General features: G+C 36.6%; 1 long non-coding RNA gene across 3 annotated transcripts in view, besides 1 other annotated feature; it reads right to left on the bottom strand.

Annotated features, from left to right (window-relative positions):
* The window catches only part of LOC105379082 (uncharacterized), a 135,090-nt gene that overhangs the window by 34,009 nt on the left and 84,993 nt on the right, over window positions 1-16,088 (bottom strand). The gene's annotated exons all lie outside the window — the stretch shown is intronic.
* Window positions 4,993-8,172: an enhancer, noted in NCBI's record as "VISTA enhancer hs1577". NCBI's record gives its function as "enhancer in: midbrain (mesencephalon)[6/11] | forebrain[10/11]" and the evidence as "EXISTENCE:transgenic organism evidence [ECO:0001131][PMID:17130149]".

Consider the following 16,088-nt stretch of genomic DNA (forward strand, 5'->3'; position numbering starts at 1 on the left):
TTATTTTTATTGTTTTAGATGTAAGGGTTGGATATTGCATTTAGGGGTGTTGATTATGTCTTGATCAAATAATTGAATTAATGCATGAAAATGAGGATCATGCAAGGACCGAAGACGGTAGTATGTTAAGAACCAAGGATTATGATAAATCTAATTCCATGTTCCTGAGATGTATGTGTATGCGTGTGTATGTGTGTGTGTATGCACACGTGTTTTTCAAGGAGTTGTAAGAATGACGTGTCACAAAGAAAAATAAAACAGGATGTAGAGATAGAAATGTGTTGGGTATTCTTTCTTACTGGGTATTTATATGTGAACTTTTGTATATATAAATTCATGCAATTTATATGGTGTGATGGCTCTGTCATGTGTCATTATTCTCATGTTATTGAATAACCAGCATTATGCTGAGTTCCATGCGGCCATATTGGCCAGTATAGTATGGTAAAGTGACAATTATGAACTTAGCCATCAGACAAGTGTGGCACAAAAGTGAGTTATACTATGTGCTATCTGGGTAGCAAAAGCCAAAAGTCTTCTACTGGATTGTGTTCCTGTGCAATATTGTACGTTTATTTTTAAGGTCTTTGCAATGAACAACCCTCAGAAAATCATCCTGTCTCCTATAAGGATGTTATTGAGGCTGTTCTTATATTGTACAGTGTTTTCTTTGTGGGAATGCCAAGGAGAAAAACAAAATCCCCAATAATTTCAGGAACAGGAATAGTTCTATATTCCTGAGCAATTTGTGTTTATCTTAGTGATAAAGTGAACTATGCAACTAAGTTTTTCTTTGTTTGTTTAAGTGTCTTGTGTTAATTGTTAAAATGCACAGACCTACCGGTAGCAAATATGTATCATTGAATTAATTTTTATAGTAAGCATGTTTCCATCTCTCTATATATCTAGTCATATTTCTTTTTTGTCCTCAGTTTTAATGTATTCTGTTTTACTGTTTTCTCTTAAATCATCCTCATTTCTTAATTATAATAAATAAAAATACACGGAAAATAGTCAATAACTTTATTGGTTATTATATCTGGAGTAGAAACCGGTATTTTACACTTTGCTCCATCCAACATTGTACTAAAGAGTCTGTTGTTTTGTATGTGTTTATGTATATGTGTGTGGGTGTGCACCCCCCAAGAGGTGTAATTCAGCTAATCAATTAAGGCAATTAAAATAGGTTAAACAAAAGCTCAGTGTGATGTGAAAATTTATTATTTGTTTAAGAGCATATTTGTTCAATATAGATTGTCAATCTGTATAGAAGAAAGACAAAATTAACTGTAAAAAAACCTTAGCTAACATATAAACTAAGGGACAGGAATAGTAGGCTTCCCAGCACTAAGAAACTAGTATAAAGGCTTAGGAGTTCCAACAATTTTCCCTAAACACAGATAAAAAACAGACTTCTTAGAGATAACAACAACATTTTTTTCATAAATCTGCAAATAATAATCATATTTATGTCCTTTTTCTGAAACAGTAAGATAATATTTTCCTGAACTTCACTAGAAAACACATTCTCAATCTCCAGCTTTTCTTTCACAAATGATAATAGCAATACTTTACATTTTAAGAACACCATTATTTTCCTTTATAGTGCTTTCTTCCAAAGAGCTCAAAGCATTGCAAAGTGCTCCTAAAAAAGTTATATTCATGTTTCCCTTCCTTTGATCCCTATGATGAAATGCAACCACCTCTATGGTGAAATACAGCCACTGCTTATGACAGTGAATAACAATTCCATACAATTCAGAAGAAATAACATACCCAATTAAAACTGTAAAGGGATCTCAGAAAGACAGACTTTAATTAGAGAAACTGGAATGTAGCCAAGCAAAAAAAGTAGCATGAAAAGTGGTCATGACCTCATTTTAACACTCTGCCTTATTCAGAAGACCACATCTAGAGTAGCCCATTGCATCAGGCTGACTTGGGCACTGATTGATTCAGCACCAAATAAATGGGAACAATGTCACATACTTAATCATCATCTGCATTTATCAAAGCAGTAGATTTTCCTTGGTGAACCTCCTCCATCAGTTAACGACCTTGTGTGTGTCCATTCATGGATCATGGAACACCACCAAGTCTACCATCACCTTTCATAACTACTTTTTAAAAATAATATGTGGTTATCAAGTACAAAACCACACAAATTTTTATATAACCTTGTAAGATCAAAGGCTAAAGTTATTTCAATATAAACATTAGGCATTCAAAGACAACCATCTTTAATTCTGAAAAACCTTTGCTAGAAATTTCAGAAGCTAAGTCTCACTAATTTCTCAATTCAGTCATCCAGACTCATTAATTTTATGTTTATAGTAGGTGGAGCAGCAGTGGATAAAGAGTAAAAATAATAACAAAACGAAAAAGAAAGATGGGCATCATATCGTCCCATTTCTTTTGAACATGATTCAATTATAATATTATTTTGGTTAGAGAATGTTTCCTGAGCTTCTTTTCCAAGTAATAAATATATAATAGAATCTAATATAAAGATAAAATTCTGTGTTACTGGATTTTTAATGCCATATGAGGTTTTTATGCCACTTTAATCCTGGAAATTGCTATGGAAGAATCAGTTTTTAAGTTTTCTTTCTTGCATGCTTCCATGACTTGGATCCTAAGGATGGAAGTATAGAAGACTTTTAGCATGTCATTGGAAGCAGTTCCAGTTACCCGTGATCTATTACCCTGGCCCCCAACAATTAGTTCTGAATTTCTGCATTCAGCAACTGCTCTCCTGCCACAAGGGAGAAGTGGGCTGGCGATATCAACGGTTTATGTTCATCTCTACCACCTGCATAAAACCTTTTGTTTAGATTACATAAATGTGGCCTGAGATTTATATTTAAATTTTATTTCTTAAGAAAAATCTTTGAAAGTACTTCCAGCTTATAAAGTCTGAAAGCAACTATACTGTCTTACATAACAGACTTCATTGAAAGTAAATTTTTTCCCTTTCTTTCTAGCATTCCTTTAAAAAAAATCTGTTAACAGCATTGGGTTCCTTGGGTTCAGGGGGTAATAGTCTGCACACTCCCACTCCCACCAAGAATTGTACATGTGACCCAGGATTGGCTAGTGTCAAGTTCTCTATTTCTCTTTGGACAAGCTATGGGGATGTGGTCTCAGGCTTGTCAGCAATCATGGCCTCTGCAACACAACAAGCCTTCAAAAGGTGAAAAGAGGTAAAGAGAAAGAGGGACATCATATGGACACTGTGGGGTCCCTGGATCTAGACTGCAGGGAAGCCTACTATACTCATATTTTTCCATGGTTGGTTGCCCAAGCCAACAGATACTTCTCTTTTGAAAATTGGAACTGGGTGCATGTCACATGAAGCCAAAGAGCATTGACCCAAATATTAATGGTCTATGTAGTATGGCTGGACCCTGTGTTAAGACTGAGTATACAGAGCTGTATGGTGTTGCTGTGCAATGTTGTTACTGCCTGATGGGATTAACACTTTCCCAAAGAAGGTAGCAGATGAACAAATAAATAAACACATATGTAGTTAATGATCAAATGAGACACGTAAAGAAGAAAATGAATCTGATGTTGGGATGAAAAACTAGGGGACACACTTTGAAAAAATGGTCAAGGAAGCTCTTACTAGGGGGAGGTTATGCAGACCTAGATCTAATAGACGTTACACAAAGTAATTTTAAAATTAATGTTTTTAATCAGATCCTTTCCAAGTGTATTTTTAGTCTTTTAAAATGTTTCTGCTTTTCCTGATTAGTAACAAAAATGATATCACTAATAATAAATAATATTCCGGTGAAGGAATATTTACTGAATATTCCTACCTTCCAGTCACCACTGGATAAATTTTATATATTTTATCCCATGTAACCTTCAAAATTCTATAAGGTTAGAATTATTATTATCATCATTTTACAGATGAGGAAACAGAAGCATGCAGATATTAACTACTAACTAGTAATCAGAAGATCCCAAAAAATCCAAACACAGAGTTTGTGCTCTTCACTACTATCTTATTAGAAGTGTAAATCATAGTTGCTGCTGAGTTTCATACATTATAAGTAGGCATTATATAGAAGAAGAACAGGGCCAGGCGCAGTGGCTCATGCCTGTAATCCCAGCACATTGGGAGGCCGAGGTGGGCAGATAATGAGGTCAAGAGATCGAGACCATCCTGGCCAACATGGTGAAACCCCGTCTCTACTAAAAATACAAAAATTAGCTGGGCGTGGTGGCACGCGCCTGTAATCCCAGCTACTCGGGAGGCTGAGGCAGGAGAGTTGCTTGAACCCAGGAGGCAGAGGTTGCAATGAGCCAAGATTGCACCACTATACTCCAGCCTGGTGACAGAGAGAGATTGCATCTCACAAAAGAAAGAAAGAAAGAAAAAGTCCCTCCTCCCTTAGATATCAACTCTTTCCATTGAGATAAACATTATTGAACATTTGGTGCATTCGTTATTTTCCTGTACATATAAAACCATGCTTTCTAATAACCTATGATATTATACACACCATAAATTTTGCAAGAAATGTTCATAATTTGCTTTCACCCAATGGATATTCTTGACATACATAGTTGCTTTTTGTGTTTAAAAAATCAATTTTATTCAACTTGAATGTTTTTTAAATAAATGTACACAGAATTGTATACAACAGGCCATCCATCATCCATTCTTTACTATTGGTTCTTATGCTTTAATTCTTGGTTTTGGAATTTTTCTACAGCCCTTTCTGCCTCCTAAATAATCCTTTCTTAGCCAGTTTTTGCCTATTGCCTAAACATCAGGAGGCAAGTTTACCCAAAAGTCACAAAACTTTGGAATTAGGTAAGCTTTTCAAGTTGAAAGACGGTCTTCCTCCTCTATTCCCAGTCTTTCCTGACCTTCCAGTTATTACACACATGGGAAGCAGATCTACCCTGTATGTTCTTAGATAGAATAAATGAATGAAGTGAACAGAAACCATAAATATTTACAGAGTTCCTACTGTGTGGCACACATACACACTGGACCCTGGAGCCTCCAGGGTAGATGAGGTCCGTGGGGTTTGAAGCCTCAAAAAACTCAACGTGAAGACAGAACGGAGCACCATCTTGCAATTTTTGTTGTTTTGTAAGTACAAGAGTATAATTACTAGAATTAAGAAAAAGAGGTATGAAGGGCAGTGTCACTATTCCTTCTTCCACCTTTATCATTTCAAGACTGGGTTTAAAACAGCTGGCAAAATATCTTTAAACAGTGGTTGAGGAAAATCTCAGTTTTTCTTAGCTACACTTAAATCCATAGAACACTACTTCCTTTGTTAGTAATGAGTTCAATTTAGGAGAAAAGTTGTCTCAGCTTTGGTGGCCAAACCATATGTTTTTGTAAGCTGGTTGGACTGCATGTCATTAAGTGTAAAAATCTATTGCAAAGCTCTCAAGGTTACATTAAGGCAATGCAGAGCCTTGGACTGCCAGGAAGAAAGACAATTCATAGAGGGCTTTTAGATGAGCACATTGTGCCAACCAAAGCAGAAGTCTTCAGTATCGTTTTCCCCACAACCTCAAATCATTATAGGCTTCAAGATTATATTTGTTACTCAGCTTGTGAGATGCAACCTGTAAGGTTAAAAAAAAAAAAACGTCGGTGATGACTTCCATCGCTCTCACTGTGACTATTTGAAATCTTCACAGGTATGAGGTCCTTTCTCAGATTATTTTTTCTCCCATGAACTCTCTGGAACCACTTATTTCATTTTTTAAAGGCAAGGTAACAAGGAACACATCACTTCATATCTATATTGTCACATGCAGCTTCTTTGATAAAACTACCACAAAAGGAAAAGTACCCCCACAAATGTATCCATGGTTTCAGAGGCATCTTATAGTACTTCAATGTTCCATGATATGAGCTGATTTTTCCACTTGGTCCTGACCTTCTTGCCATCTAAATACCTTTTTATCTATTTTAGTACTTTATTAAACTTTTATTATGTGCCCAGTAAGACTATGTATACTATTTCCTTTCAGCCTCACAGTGAGCATCAGGTAAGTATTATTATTATCTACCTTTTTTTCAGATGTGAAAAGAAAACAGCAGGACGACCTTAGCTGCAAGGACACATGGCTATCACATGGAGGATCAAGAACATAAGCCCAGAGTCCATACGTAATCCAATATGCCACCAAGTCCTTATTAAAAGTGTTACACAAAACTGCATCTAGCAAGGAAACATGTTACCTTCTGAACATGTCTATGGAGAAAAAATCTTTAAAAATATTTTACATATATATTCTTAGGAAAATAGTGGTTTACTGCTACTTACATACCCAACTAAATGAAACTAGAATTTTAAACACACAATTACTATCATCTGATCAAATACTCATCACTGAGGAGAGTAGAGAGTATTTCATCAGTATTTCAAAACTGATGTCTATCCATAGCTACTTCTCTGATCTTGGGCCTCAGTTCTTGCATGTGTAAAATAAAGGAGTGGGCAGGAATTTTGGTCACAAAAACTGTTTTTGAGTCTAAATACTAATTTTTAAGTCAGATTAAATTAATCTTATAGAACTTGACATTCTTACAGCCCTATTACTAAATCTGCAGGTAACAGCAGTGATAGAGTAATACTGTAAGGAATTAAGCTGAACCCACTCTTACATTCTATGGGTATGAGTTTATGGACCCATATTTAAGAGCGAGATTATTGTACTTATTAGAATTGGTTTCTATAGGTAAGTAAAATCAGGGAAATAGAGGTTGCCTCTATTCAAGAGAATAAGAAATAAGGAACCCAACCTGGGTTCCATTTCTTTTAGTTTACATTTTTTTCAGGTTTGTTTACTATGTGCCAAACACAACTTAAAATTAAAGTAATATTTTACAAGTTATTGCTCTAAAGCAAAGGAAGAAAAGGGTCTCTGCAGGGAAGTGTTTCCCTAGAGTCTTCCTAATACTGATTAACACTAGTTTTTGAAATGTTAATTAGTTTTGAGCTTAACAGCTAGTCATTGTCTAAAAGGGCATGGAGCAAAACTTTTCAAAGTGTGGACTAAGGAGTATTTAACTCCTTAATGCCAAGGACTGGCCATTTACTCCATTGCTGGCCACTGAACCATGAGAATGCCAGGTCTGATTAGCTGTGGTGATTAGCAGGCTGACATTAGGACTGGAATCACTTGTCATTTGCTTACATTGACAGACTACCTACAGAACTGTATAACTTTTATCAGTGCAATGCATTCCATTTAGTAGTATTATGGAAAGCATATTTTAAAAACTTTTATAGACTAAGTTTAATACAGTGTATACACTTTTTGAAATATTACCTAAAATTACTATATTGTAGTGATTGTCTTTGTCATTTAATTGGTATAATGGTAGAAAATAGAGCTTTTTGTTTCTTAGGCTGTATCTTAGAGACCATATTTATTACTTCTTCTAAATCTGTGCCATCTAAATTTCACATTTTCCTATTGTTCTCAGTAGAGTAGGACCCTTTTAAAAGAACATTCACTAAAAACTTCATAAAAGAGAATTCTTATGGGGAAATATGTCTTTATAGAAGAGGTACAATCTGATTAAGACAATGGAAATCAGAAAAGTAGTAAGAAACAATTGCTCTACTCAAAAATGTTTGTTTATAAAGCAAAAATTCTCGTACATCTAGGGGATCATATGTATGAATTCAGCATTATTTACACCATTTTGCTACTCAGAAACTGTTGAAACATTTGCCCAAAGTCTTAGAACTAGGTACCAGTCCGTATTTTTGAAAATGCTCTTTCTACTGCTACGATCTTCACTTTTTTGCCTTCCTTGGCAATTACTTAAGCACATATTGGTAGGTTTTTCTCCCTTAACATTTGTATATAATTCAATTTCTTTAACCATATTAGGGCCAAGAATCTAGTCTTAAACAAACTGAAAATTCTACATGAAATGCAGTAATCCTATTGTGGAAAATTCTATTTAAGTATCTATTTAAACTATAAAAAGACACTAAAATATAAAAATAAGCTATGTTAAAAAATTGTTTTACAGAGCTGAAAGACAAGCTCACAAGGAAAAATTTGATGAATATCTTAACTACAAAGGCACACAGTGTAATATAAGGACACAGGTAGTAAGAAATAAAGGAATGAGCAGAGTAGATGGTCTTCTAAAGGGGTTGATATTGGTGGACTATTTTGACTGCACCTCTAGCATTTGCTAAAAGATCTATGACTAGAAGAGAAAAAAACAGCAATAGTGCTGTGAAGGAAAAAATTGAAGCAGAACAGTAGTAGAATTGAAAAAAAAAGTCTTAGGGGTACTATAAAAATTTCTTCAAATTTGTTTTTATTTTATTTTATTTATTTATTTTGAGACAGGGTCTCACTGTCACCCATGCTGCAGTGCAATGGTGCGATCTCGGCTCACTGCAACCTCTGCCTCCAGGGCTCAAGTGATTCTCCAGCCTCAGCCTCCCAAGTGGCTGGGACCACAGGCATGCACCACCACACCCGAATAGTGTGTGTGTGTGTGTGTGTGTGTGTGTGTGTGTGTGTGTGTGTGTATTTACAGACGAGGTTTTGCCATGTTGCCCAAGCTGGTCTCGAACTCCTGAGCTCAAAGCAATCCCTCCGCCTCGGCCTCCCAAAGTACTGGGATTATAGGCATGAGCCACCGCACCCAGACAAATTTATTTCTAGCGTTAGCCTTTTTATATAAGTCTTCTTAAAAATGTTGGCTTTTCTTTCCAAATCACATTCAAGTAAATATTTACTTTTTCTATCACTGTCCTTGAGCTTTATTTGTCATTATTATTATTACTGTTTTCCAGATTGCTCAGCAATTTTAAAAATCTATTTGTGGTTCTTTCCTTTTGTCGATATTACTATGCATTATTCTTCACTATAGAATTCTCTCCTGGCATTTCAGCCTACTTGTATTGTTCAGTCTACCTGGATATTTTTAAACGTTCTTTTGACTTTGCAAAGGTTTTTAAAATAAAGTTATCACTATTAAACAAATATTTTAAATTACTTTCTTATCATTAAAGGGAGTTTTTTTTCTGATCAACCTTCTATTTACTATTACTGGAACTATTTTTATACAGTGAGGAGCTTTTGCTATTGGTGAGTGGAGTGTGAATATAGGCTCTGCCACTTATGCTCTTGAGACCTTAGGCAACTTATTTTACTTTCTGATCACCATCTATAAAACAAAGATACTAGCATAAATTCTAAAATTGAAAATGAGCAAAAAGCTCTGCATATGACAGCGTAAATAGATCATATTCTGTCTGCCTAGGATAAGGCTGCCCACTCTCTCCTAAGACAGTTACTTTCATTGTCCAGAAAGTCACCAATCTGTAGTTCAACCTACTTTTCTCAACATCTCCAAAGCAGATTAATAATTTCGGATTTACTTATGTTTAAAGTTCATGTGGCTATGAATAAAGCCTCATATTAATTAGTTAACAAAAAATAACTGACACAGGGAACCAGCATATTCTATGTTTAGATGTCTGCCCAGATAATTTCCCCTTATGGACAGATTTATGAGTCAATTCATCATAATATTACTTTGTGAATTTACAATGAAACTGACAGTCATATATCTGAAGCAAGGGGCCAGACAGTTCTTCCCCTACCTGCAGATAAAAAGTGAAGCAAAACAATCACTGGGAAATTATTTTGTGAATATGGAATCAAAGCAAGTGGGAATTAGATTGATTGAATGTTTTAACATCATCATGCTAGTAGAGCATGATAATGTATCCATCTCTCAATAGACATGAGTTTAATAATATTAGTAGCTAAGACTTATGGAATACTTCCTATGTGCCAACCACTGTTAAAGTACTTTATATGAATTAGTTCATCTAATCTTTATAAAAATCCTTGTAAGAAGTTCTATTATTATCTCTATAATGAAGAAACTAGCCCAGATGAGTTAATTAACTTGCTCAGGATCACAAAGCAAGGAAGTGGCAGAGGGAGAATAAATTTGCCTGGGGCCGATATTCTCAGTCTCGGTTGGCTAGACTGACCTTGTATCCTGGAAAATTTTGGGTGAGGGGAGCATTGCCAATCTGTGCTTATGATTCTCATTTTCAGCATTTCCCAAGGTATTGACTTCTTTTTAAAATAGTTATCTTTTCTTTAAATATGACTTATTTCATTTTTAGCCAATATTTATTGAGTGCCTACTGTGTGTCAAGATCTCTACTAGGTACTATGACTACAATGGATAACAAGAAAGATAAAAAGACCTGCTTTTGTGGAATTTGGAGTGTGTTCACTCTAAATGCTATATGAATGAATAGATGAAATTAATACAGAAGGTAATTGGTGGTGGTAAAAAATGAGGTACTAAGAGAATACATGTGGAAACCCATTTTCTATAATGTAGTCAAAGAAGATGACTAAGAAGGTGACATTTAAGCTCATATCTGAGGACAAAGAAAGCAACCATCAAAAAGCACTTCTGGCAAGAAAGAATAGTTAGTACAAACAGTAAGTGCAAAAGAAAAGAGCAAGGTAAAGAGTGGAATGCATTCTAGGTGTGTTAACCTATTCAAATGTCGCAGGACTGAGAACCACTCTCTTTTCTTGGCTTATTTGTACTCCAATTTCAATATTTTACTATCTGAGGGAAGTCATAAAAATTGTTTGCCAAAATGAGTAAAGTAAATATGTTGATTGAAAAAGACAAATCTAAAACATTAGGCTACAGAAGATAAGAAGCAAAATGGATGGAAAAAAGATATATCAAGCAAATAGCAACTAAAGGAGAGTGAAGATAGCTGTATGTTTAGTGGTGATTTGTGAGATTTTGGTATATCAATCAAAGGCCAAAACAAACTGAGGAAAAAATAAGCATTGGTGGTAAGGACAGCAATAATGCGCTGTCAAGACTTTTTTTTTGGGGGGGACGGAGTCTCGCTCTGTTGCCCAGGCTGCAGTGGTGGGATCTCGGCTCACTGCAAGCTTCACCTCCCGTGTTCACACCTTTCTCCTACCTCAGCATCCGGAGTAGCTGGGACTACAGGTGCCCACCACCACGCCTGGCTAATATTTTGTATTTTTAGTGGAGACGGGGTTTCACTGTGTTAGCCAGGATGGTCTTGATCTCCTGACCTCGTGATCCGCCTGCCTCGGCCTCCCAAAGTGCTGGGATTACAGGAGTGAGCCACTGCGCCTGGCCCAAAACTTTTAATTAACCAGGATGGTACAATAATTCTTAAACTAGGGTTAACCTAAAATTCAGATTCAAAATACATAAAGCAAAAATCAATAAAACTGTTGGGAAAAAACTGCTAAATCCAACGTGATAAAGAGGGATATTAACATATCTCTCTCAGTGATAGATTGAACAGGCAAACACTCAAACAGATCTAAAAGAAACAACACCATACAGATCAATGAACCTAAATATAATAACTTCTTGCAAGAGCAACAACTGGAGAATACACTTCCACCCCCAAGGTATAGGAAAGATTTATAGGAATTGATCATATACTAGGCCAATAGCAGTTCTAAAGAAAATCGAAAAAATTGATACTGTATAGACCGTATTCTCTGACCACTAAAATATTACATAAGAAATCAATGACTCAAAATATGTTAGAAATGAAATAAAAAAACAACTTATGTATCAAAGAAAATTATAATGAAAACTAGAAAATACTCAGAAGTGAAAAAGAAGAAAATTATACCTAACACTTGTTGGAAGCATAAAAACCAGTTCAGATATGGAAATGTATTTGCTTAAGTATTTATGTTAATACAAATGATCGTGAAAATAAAACAGGTAACAAGTTAGAAAAAGTAAGAATAAATGCAAAAAAAGCAAAGGAAAACAAATAATAAAGAAAAGATATTAAGGAAATAGATATCTAATATTAAAGTTAATTAATAAAGCCAAAACCACTTCTTAGAAAAAGAGAATAAAACACAAAAACCTCTGTAATGAAGGGAATAAATATAGGTAAAAATAATTTTCAGAGTGAAACAGGAAATATAATTGCAGGTTCAGTAGAGATTAATAGCATAGAAGAATATCATAAAAATATTTGTCATTAAATTTGGTGAAATAGACACATTCTTAGAAAATTAGACATTATTACATTTGAATCCAAAGAGAACTAGAAATTTTAGCTACTATATAAACAGAATAAGTAGGTTAAAATCTCCCCATTCAGGAGAAATGTGTTTTCAGGAAAAATCTCTCAGTAAGAAGAAGGAACAGGGAAAGGAAAGGGGAAGTGAAGCAAGTTATGGTCTTGGGTAAAGTCTAACAATGGCTTCAACAGCAAGAGGAGCCCAGTATAATGACACAGCAAGCTTATGGGTCCTGAAGTAGAAAGGCCAGGCTTTTCTACCCTAGTATTTATTGGCTTTCCCTGGGTAGAGAGTTTAATTTCCCAGCCATCTCCAGTGAGCTGGCTATGGTGAGGCAAAGGCAAGTCTCCAGGGACCACAGGTGAAAGTGATTAGCTCCAGCACTCCAGTAGTGGGTGGGGAGCCAGCCAGGAAAGGGCATGTGAGCAGAGCACCAAAAATATGTTGAGAGACATTCTGCATTCCCCTTAAGCCTTCCCAAAGCTCATGGACGAAGATCTGGAGCAATATATCACCTGTGTGCTAGAGAAGATCCCCTGATTTTAAGAGTATTATCAGAATATTTGAGGTAAATGTATCTCTAGAGGGAATCAAAACAAATCTGATGCTTCTATTAATTACGGATAGACATACACCAGAAAATCATCTTATTGGTGACTTCTTCAAATGCAGGCAGAAGGACCTCCATGAACCAAAAGTACTTTGTGTGTGACTCTAGCTGATTCCTTTCCTCCTATAACCTGAACTTCACTGTCACATGAGTAACATGGGAACATGTCACATGGCAAAATGGGACTCCTTTATTTCAAGTGAGACCATGAAGTTTCACAACAAAAGAATTGGTGTCATCTCGTCTGCATGCCAGGCCTGTAAAGAAGAGCTCCCTAAATGTGATGAGGGGACCCTTCATGCAACACCTTTGTAAGCAAATAATAAAATGTTGAAATCAAACAGCACCAGGAAGAGAAACATTTTTCCAAAACAAAATCTGAGAATGTTGTAAAAGTTTCCCATCCTCCTCTCTTCTAAATAGTAATCCAAGCCCTTCCCATGAGAAATTTGTAGAGGCTGCATTTTTCTAAATTAAAGACCACAGAGAAGGCTTTAAGGGGGTTACTCAGATAACTGGTGTTGTGAGCACTAGAATTAGGGATATGGTAGTCTAGTCTCTGACTCTCATTTAGGAAATCAAAACAAAAAAGGCAACATGGCTCTTAGCTGACATATGGTGAGATTCACCGGAAGCAAACTGTCCTAGTGTCACATGGCAGAGAAAATGCATGTGGTTCAAGAGCCTTGAAAGTTGACTACAAGCGAAAGCTGCTACGGGTTGGATATTTATTTCCTCCAAATCTCATATTGAAACTTCCAATGTTGGAAGTGGGAGCTAGTGAGAGGTGTTTTGGTTACAGGGGTTGGGCAGATCCCCCATGAAGGACTTGGTTCCCTCCCCATGGTAATAAGGCACTTCTTGCTCTTTTCCTTCACATGCAAATCAGTTGTTTTTTTTAAAAAAGCCTGGCTCCTCCCCCATCTCTCTTGCTCCTGCTCTTGCCATGTGATGCCTTGTCTTCCCCTCTGCCTTCTGCCATGAGTGTAAGCTTCCTGAGGCCCTCACCAGGAACAGATGCCAGCACTATGCTTCACGTGAAGCCTGCAGAACTATGAGCCAATATAAAAGCTCTTTTCATTATAAATTACCGAACCTCAGGTATTCCTTTACAACAACACAAGAATGAACTAACACAAAAGCCTAGAGCCATCTGAGATAGGACTCTGCTCAAGACAGCCATGTAAAGGGGAAATGGCCTTGACAAAAATGGTCTGGATAGAAAGCACATAGGACCTGAGTGCCAGTGTCCTAAGAGAGTAAATCACCCCATTTCCCTTTACCATGGTGTTGCAGTGGGAAGTTCCAATAACTTTGTTTTTTGTTTGTTTGTTTGCTTTTTGAGATGGAGTCTCGCTCTGTCGCCCAGGCTAGAGTACAGTGGCACGATCTCGGCTCACTGCAAGCTTCGCCTCCCGGGTTCACGCCATTCTCCTGCCTCAGCCTCCCACGTAGCTGGGAAGACAGGCGCCCGCCACCACGCCCGGCTATTTTTTTGTATTTTTTAGTAGAGACGGGGTTTCACCGTGTTAGCCAGGATGGTCTCGATCTCCTGACCTCGTGATCCGCCCGCCTCGACCTCCCAAAGTGCTGGGATTACAGGCATGAGCCACCACGCCCGGCCAACTTTGTTTTTTAACCTACAAAAGTAGCCCAAAATATCAAAGCCAGTTTTAAACATCTCCCTAGCCTCGTACACAGTTGTGGTCTCTAATAAGACCCTTTCCCCTAAATCACTCTCTCCACCTTTCGGAAGGGATCAGAAATCAGGCAACCGAACGGGGAGAGTAGGAGTTGGAGCTAGGAAAGTCAGAATGTCTGACTATACCCTCCTTCTCCTAGGAGAGTATAATCAGAGTAAAATCCTCTAGGCTTCCTCAGCTAAAGAGATAATTAGGTAAGAAGGAAGAAATTTTACATTGCACATATAAGAAATTATGCAATTATGCCACGAGGTAGAAGTTTTAATTTTTAAAATAATGCTATTCTTGAGATGAAAAAAATCACATGAACTAGAAAAAAAAAAAAGGCCAGATTAGAGAATCTGATCAAGATTTCATCTATGCAGTAAGGAAGAAATATTCTGCAGAGTAACTTTAAAGGGTTGTTAACATAGAATTGTTTTTTTTTTTTTTTACTACTTGTACTTTAATAATTTCAGCTTGTTTAATAAAACAGTTATTGTTATGAATTGAATTGCATCCCCCCCAAATTCACAGGATGGAGTATTAATCTTCAGTACCTCTGAGTATAGGACCTTATTTGGAAATAAATTTGCTGCAAATGTGATCAGTTAAGATGAGGTCATACTGAAGTGGAGTGAGCCTCAATTCCAATAGGGCTGTTGTCCTACAAAAAAGGGGAAATTTGGATCTAGGCATGTTTACAAAGAGAAGTCCATGTGAAAATAAAGACGGCCTTCTACAAGCCAAGGGGAGAGGCCTGGAACAGATTCTTCCCTTATAGCTCTCAGAAGGAATCAGTTTTAGTCTGCTCTGGCTGCTATAACAAAATACCATATAGAAATGCAATCCTCACAGTTTTGGAGAAGTTCAAGATCAGGGTTCCAGTATGATTAGGTTTTGGCGAGTGCCCTCTTCCTGTCTTACAGACAGGCACCTTTTCACTGTGTCCTACTATGGTGGAGAGAGAGCAAGCTCTGTCTGGTCTCTGACATTTCTCATAAAGACACCAATTCTACCATGGGGGTTTCACCCTTGCAATCTCATCTAAACCTAATTACCTCCCAAAGTCCCACCTCCAATACCATCACATGAGGGGTTATGGCTTCAACTTACGCCTTTTGGGTGGATACAATTTTTCAGTCCATAGCAGAACCAACCCTGCCAACACCCTGATTTCAGACTTCTAACCTTCAGAATTGTACGACAATAACTTTCTGTTATTTAAGACACCTAGTGTATTATGGCAGCACTAGCAAACTAATAGAGTTATTTGTACACAGATGTAGTTGCTTTTTTAAATTATTAAGTAATCTATTATAGTCATTTTCTTTTTCAAACATTAAAACTTTTCACTCAGTAATTTTCAACCTTTTTCTCAACATTGAAAGGCTGTGTATTACTTAACCTTTAGGAGCTTCACGTTTTCTCTAAAAGTAAATTCAGATTGTTTCACTTCCATGCTTAAAATCCTCTAGTGGCTTCCAATTGCAGCCTAACATCAATATAAGATTTCAAGGCCTTAGCATAATCCATAAATACTTTATGATCTGGATATTGCCTATATCTCTAAACTCAAATCCTTTTTCTTGCCTCTTTTTCTTTTCCCTTCAGTGATACTGCCCAGACAATCCAAGTTCATTCTGTTCTCCAGACCTTGGCACATGACTTTCTCTTATAGTTTGGCACCAACTGCC

The sequence above is a fragment of the Homo sapiens genome, chromosome 5 (assembly GCF_000001405.40).
Source record: "Homo sapiens chromosome 5, GRCh38.p14 Primary Assembly".
Taxonomy (NCBI): domain Eukaryota; kingdom Metazoa; phylum Chordata; class Mammalia; order Primates; family Hominidae; genus Homo; species Homo sapiens.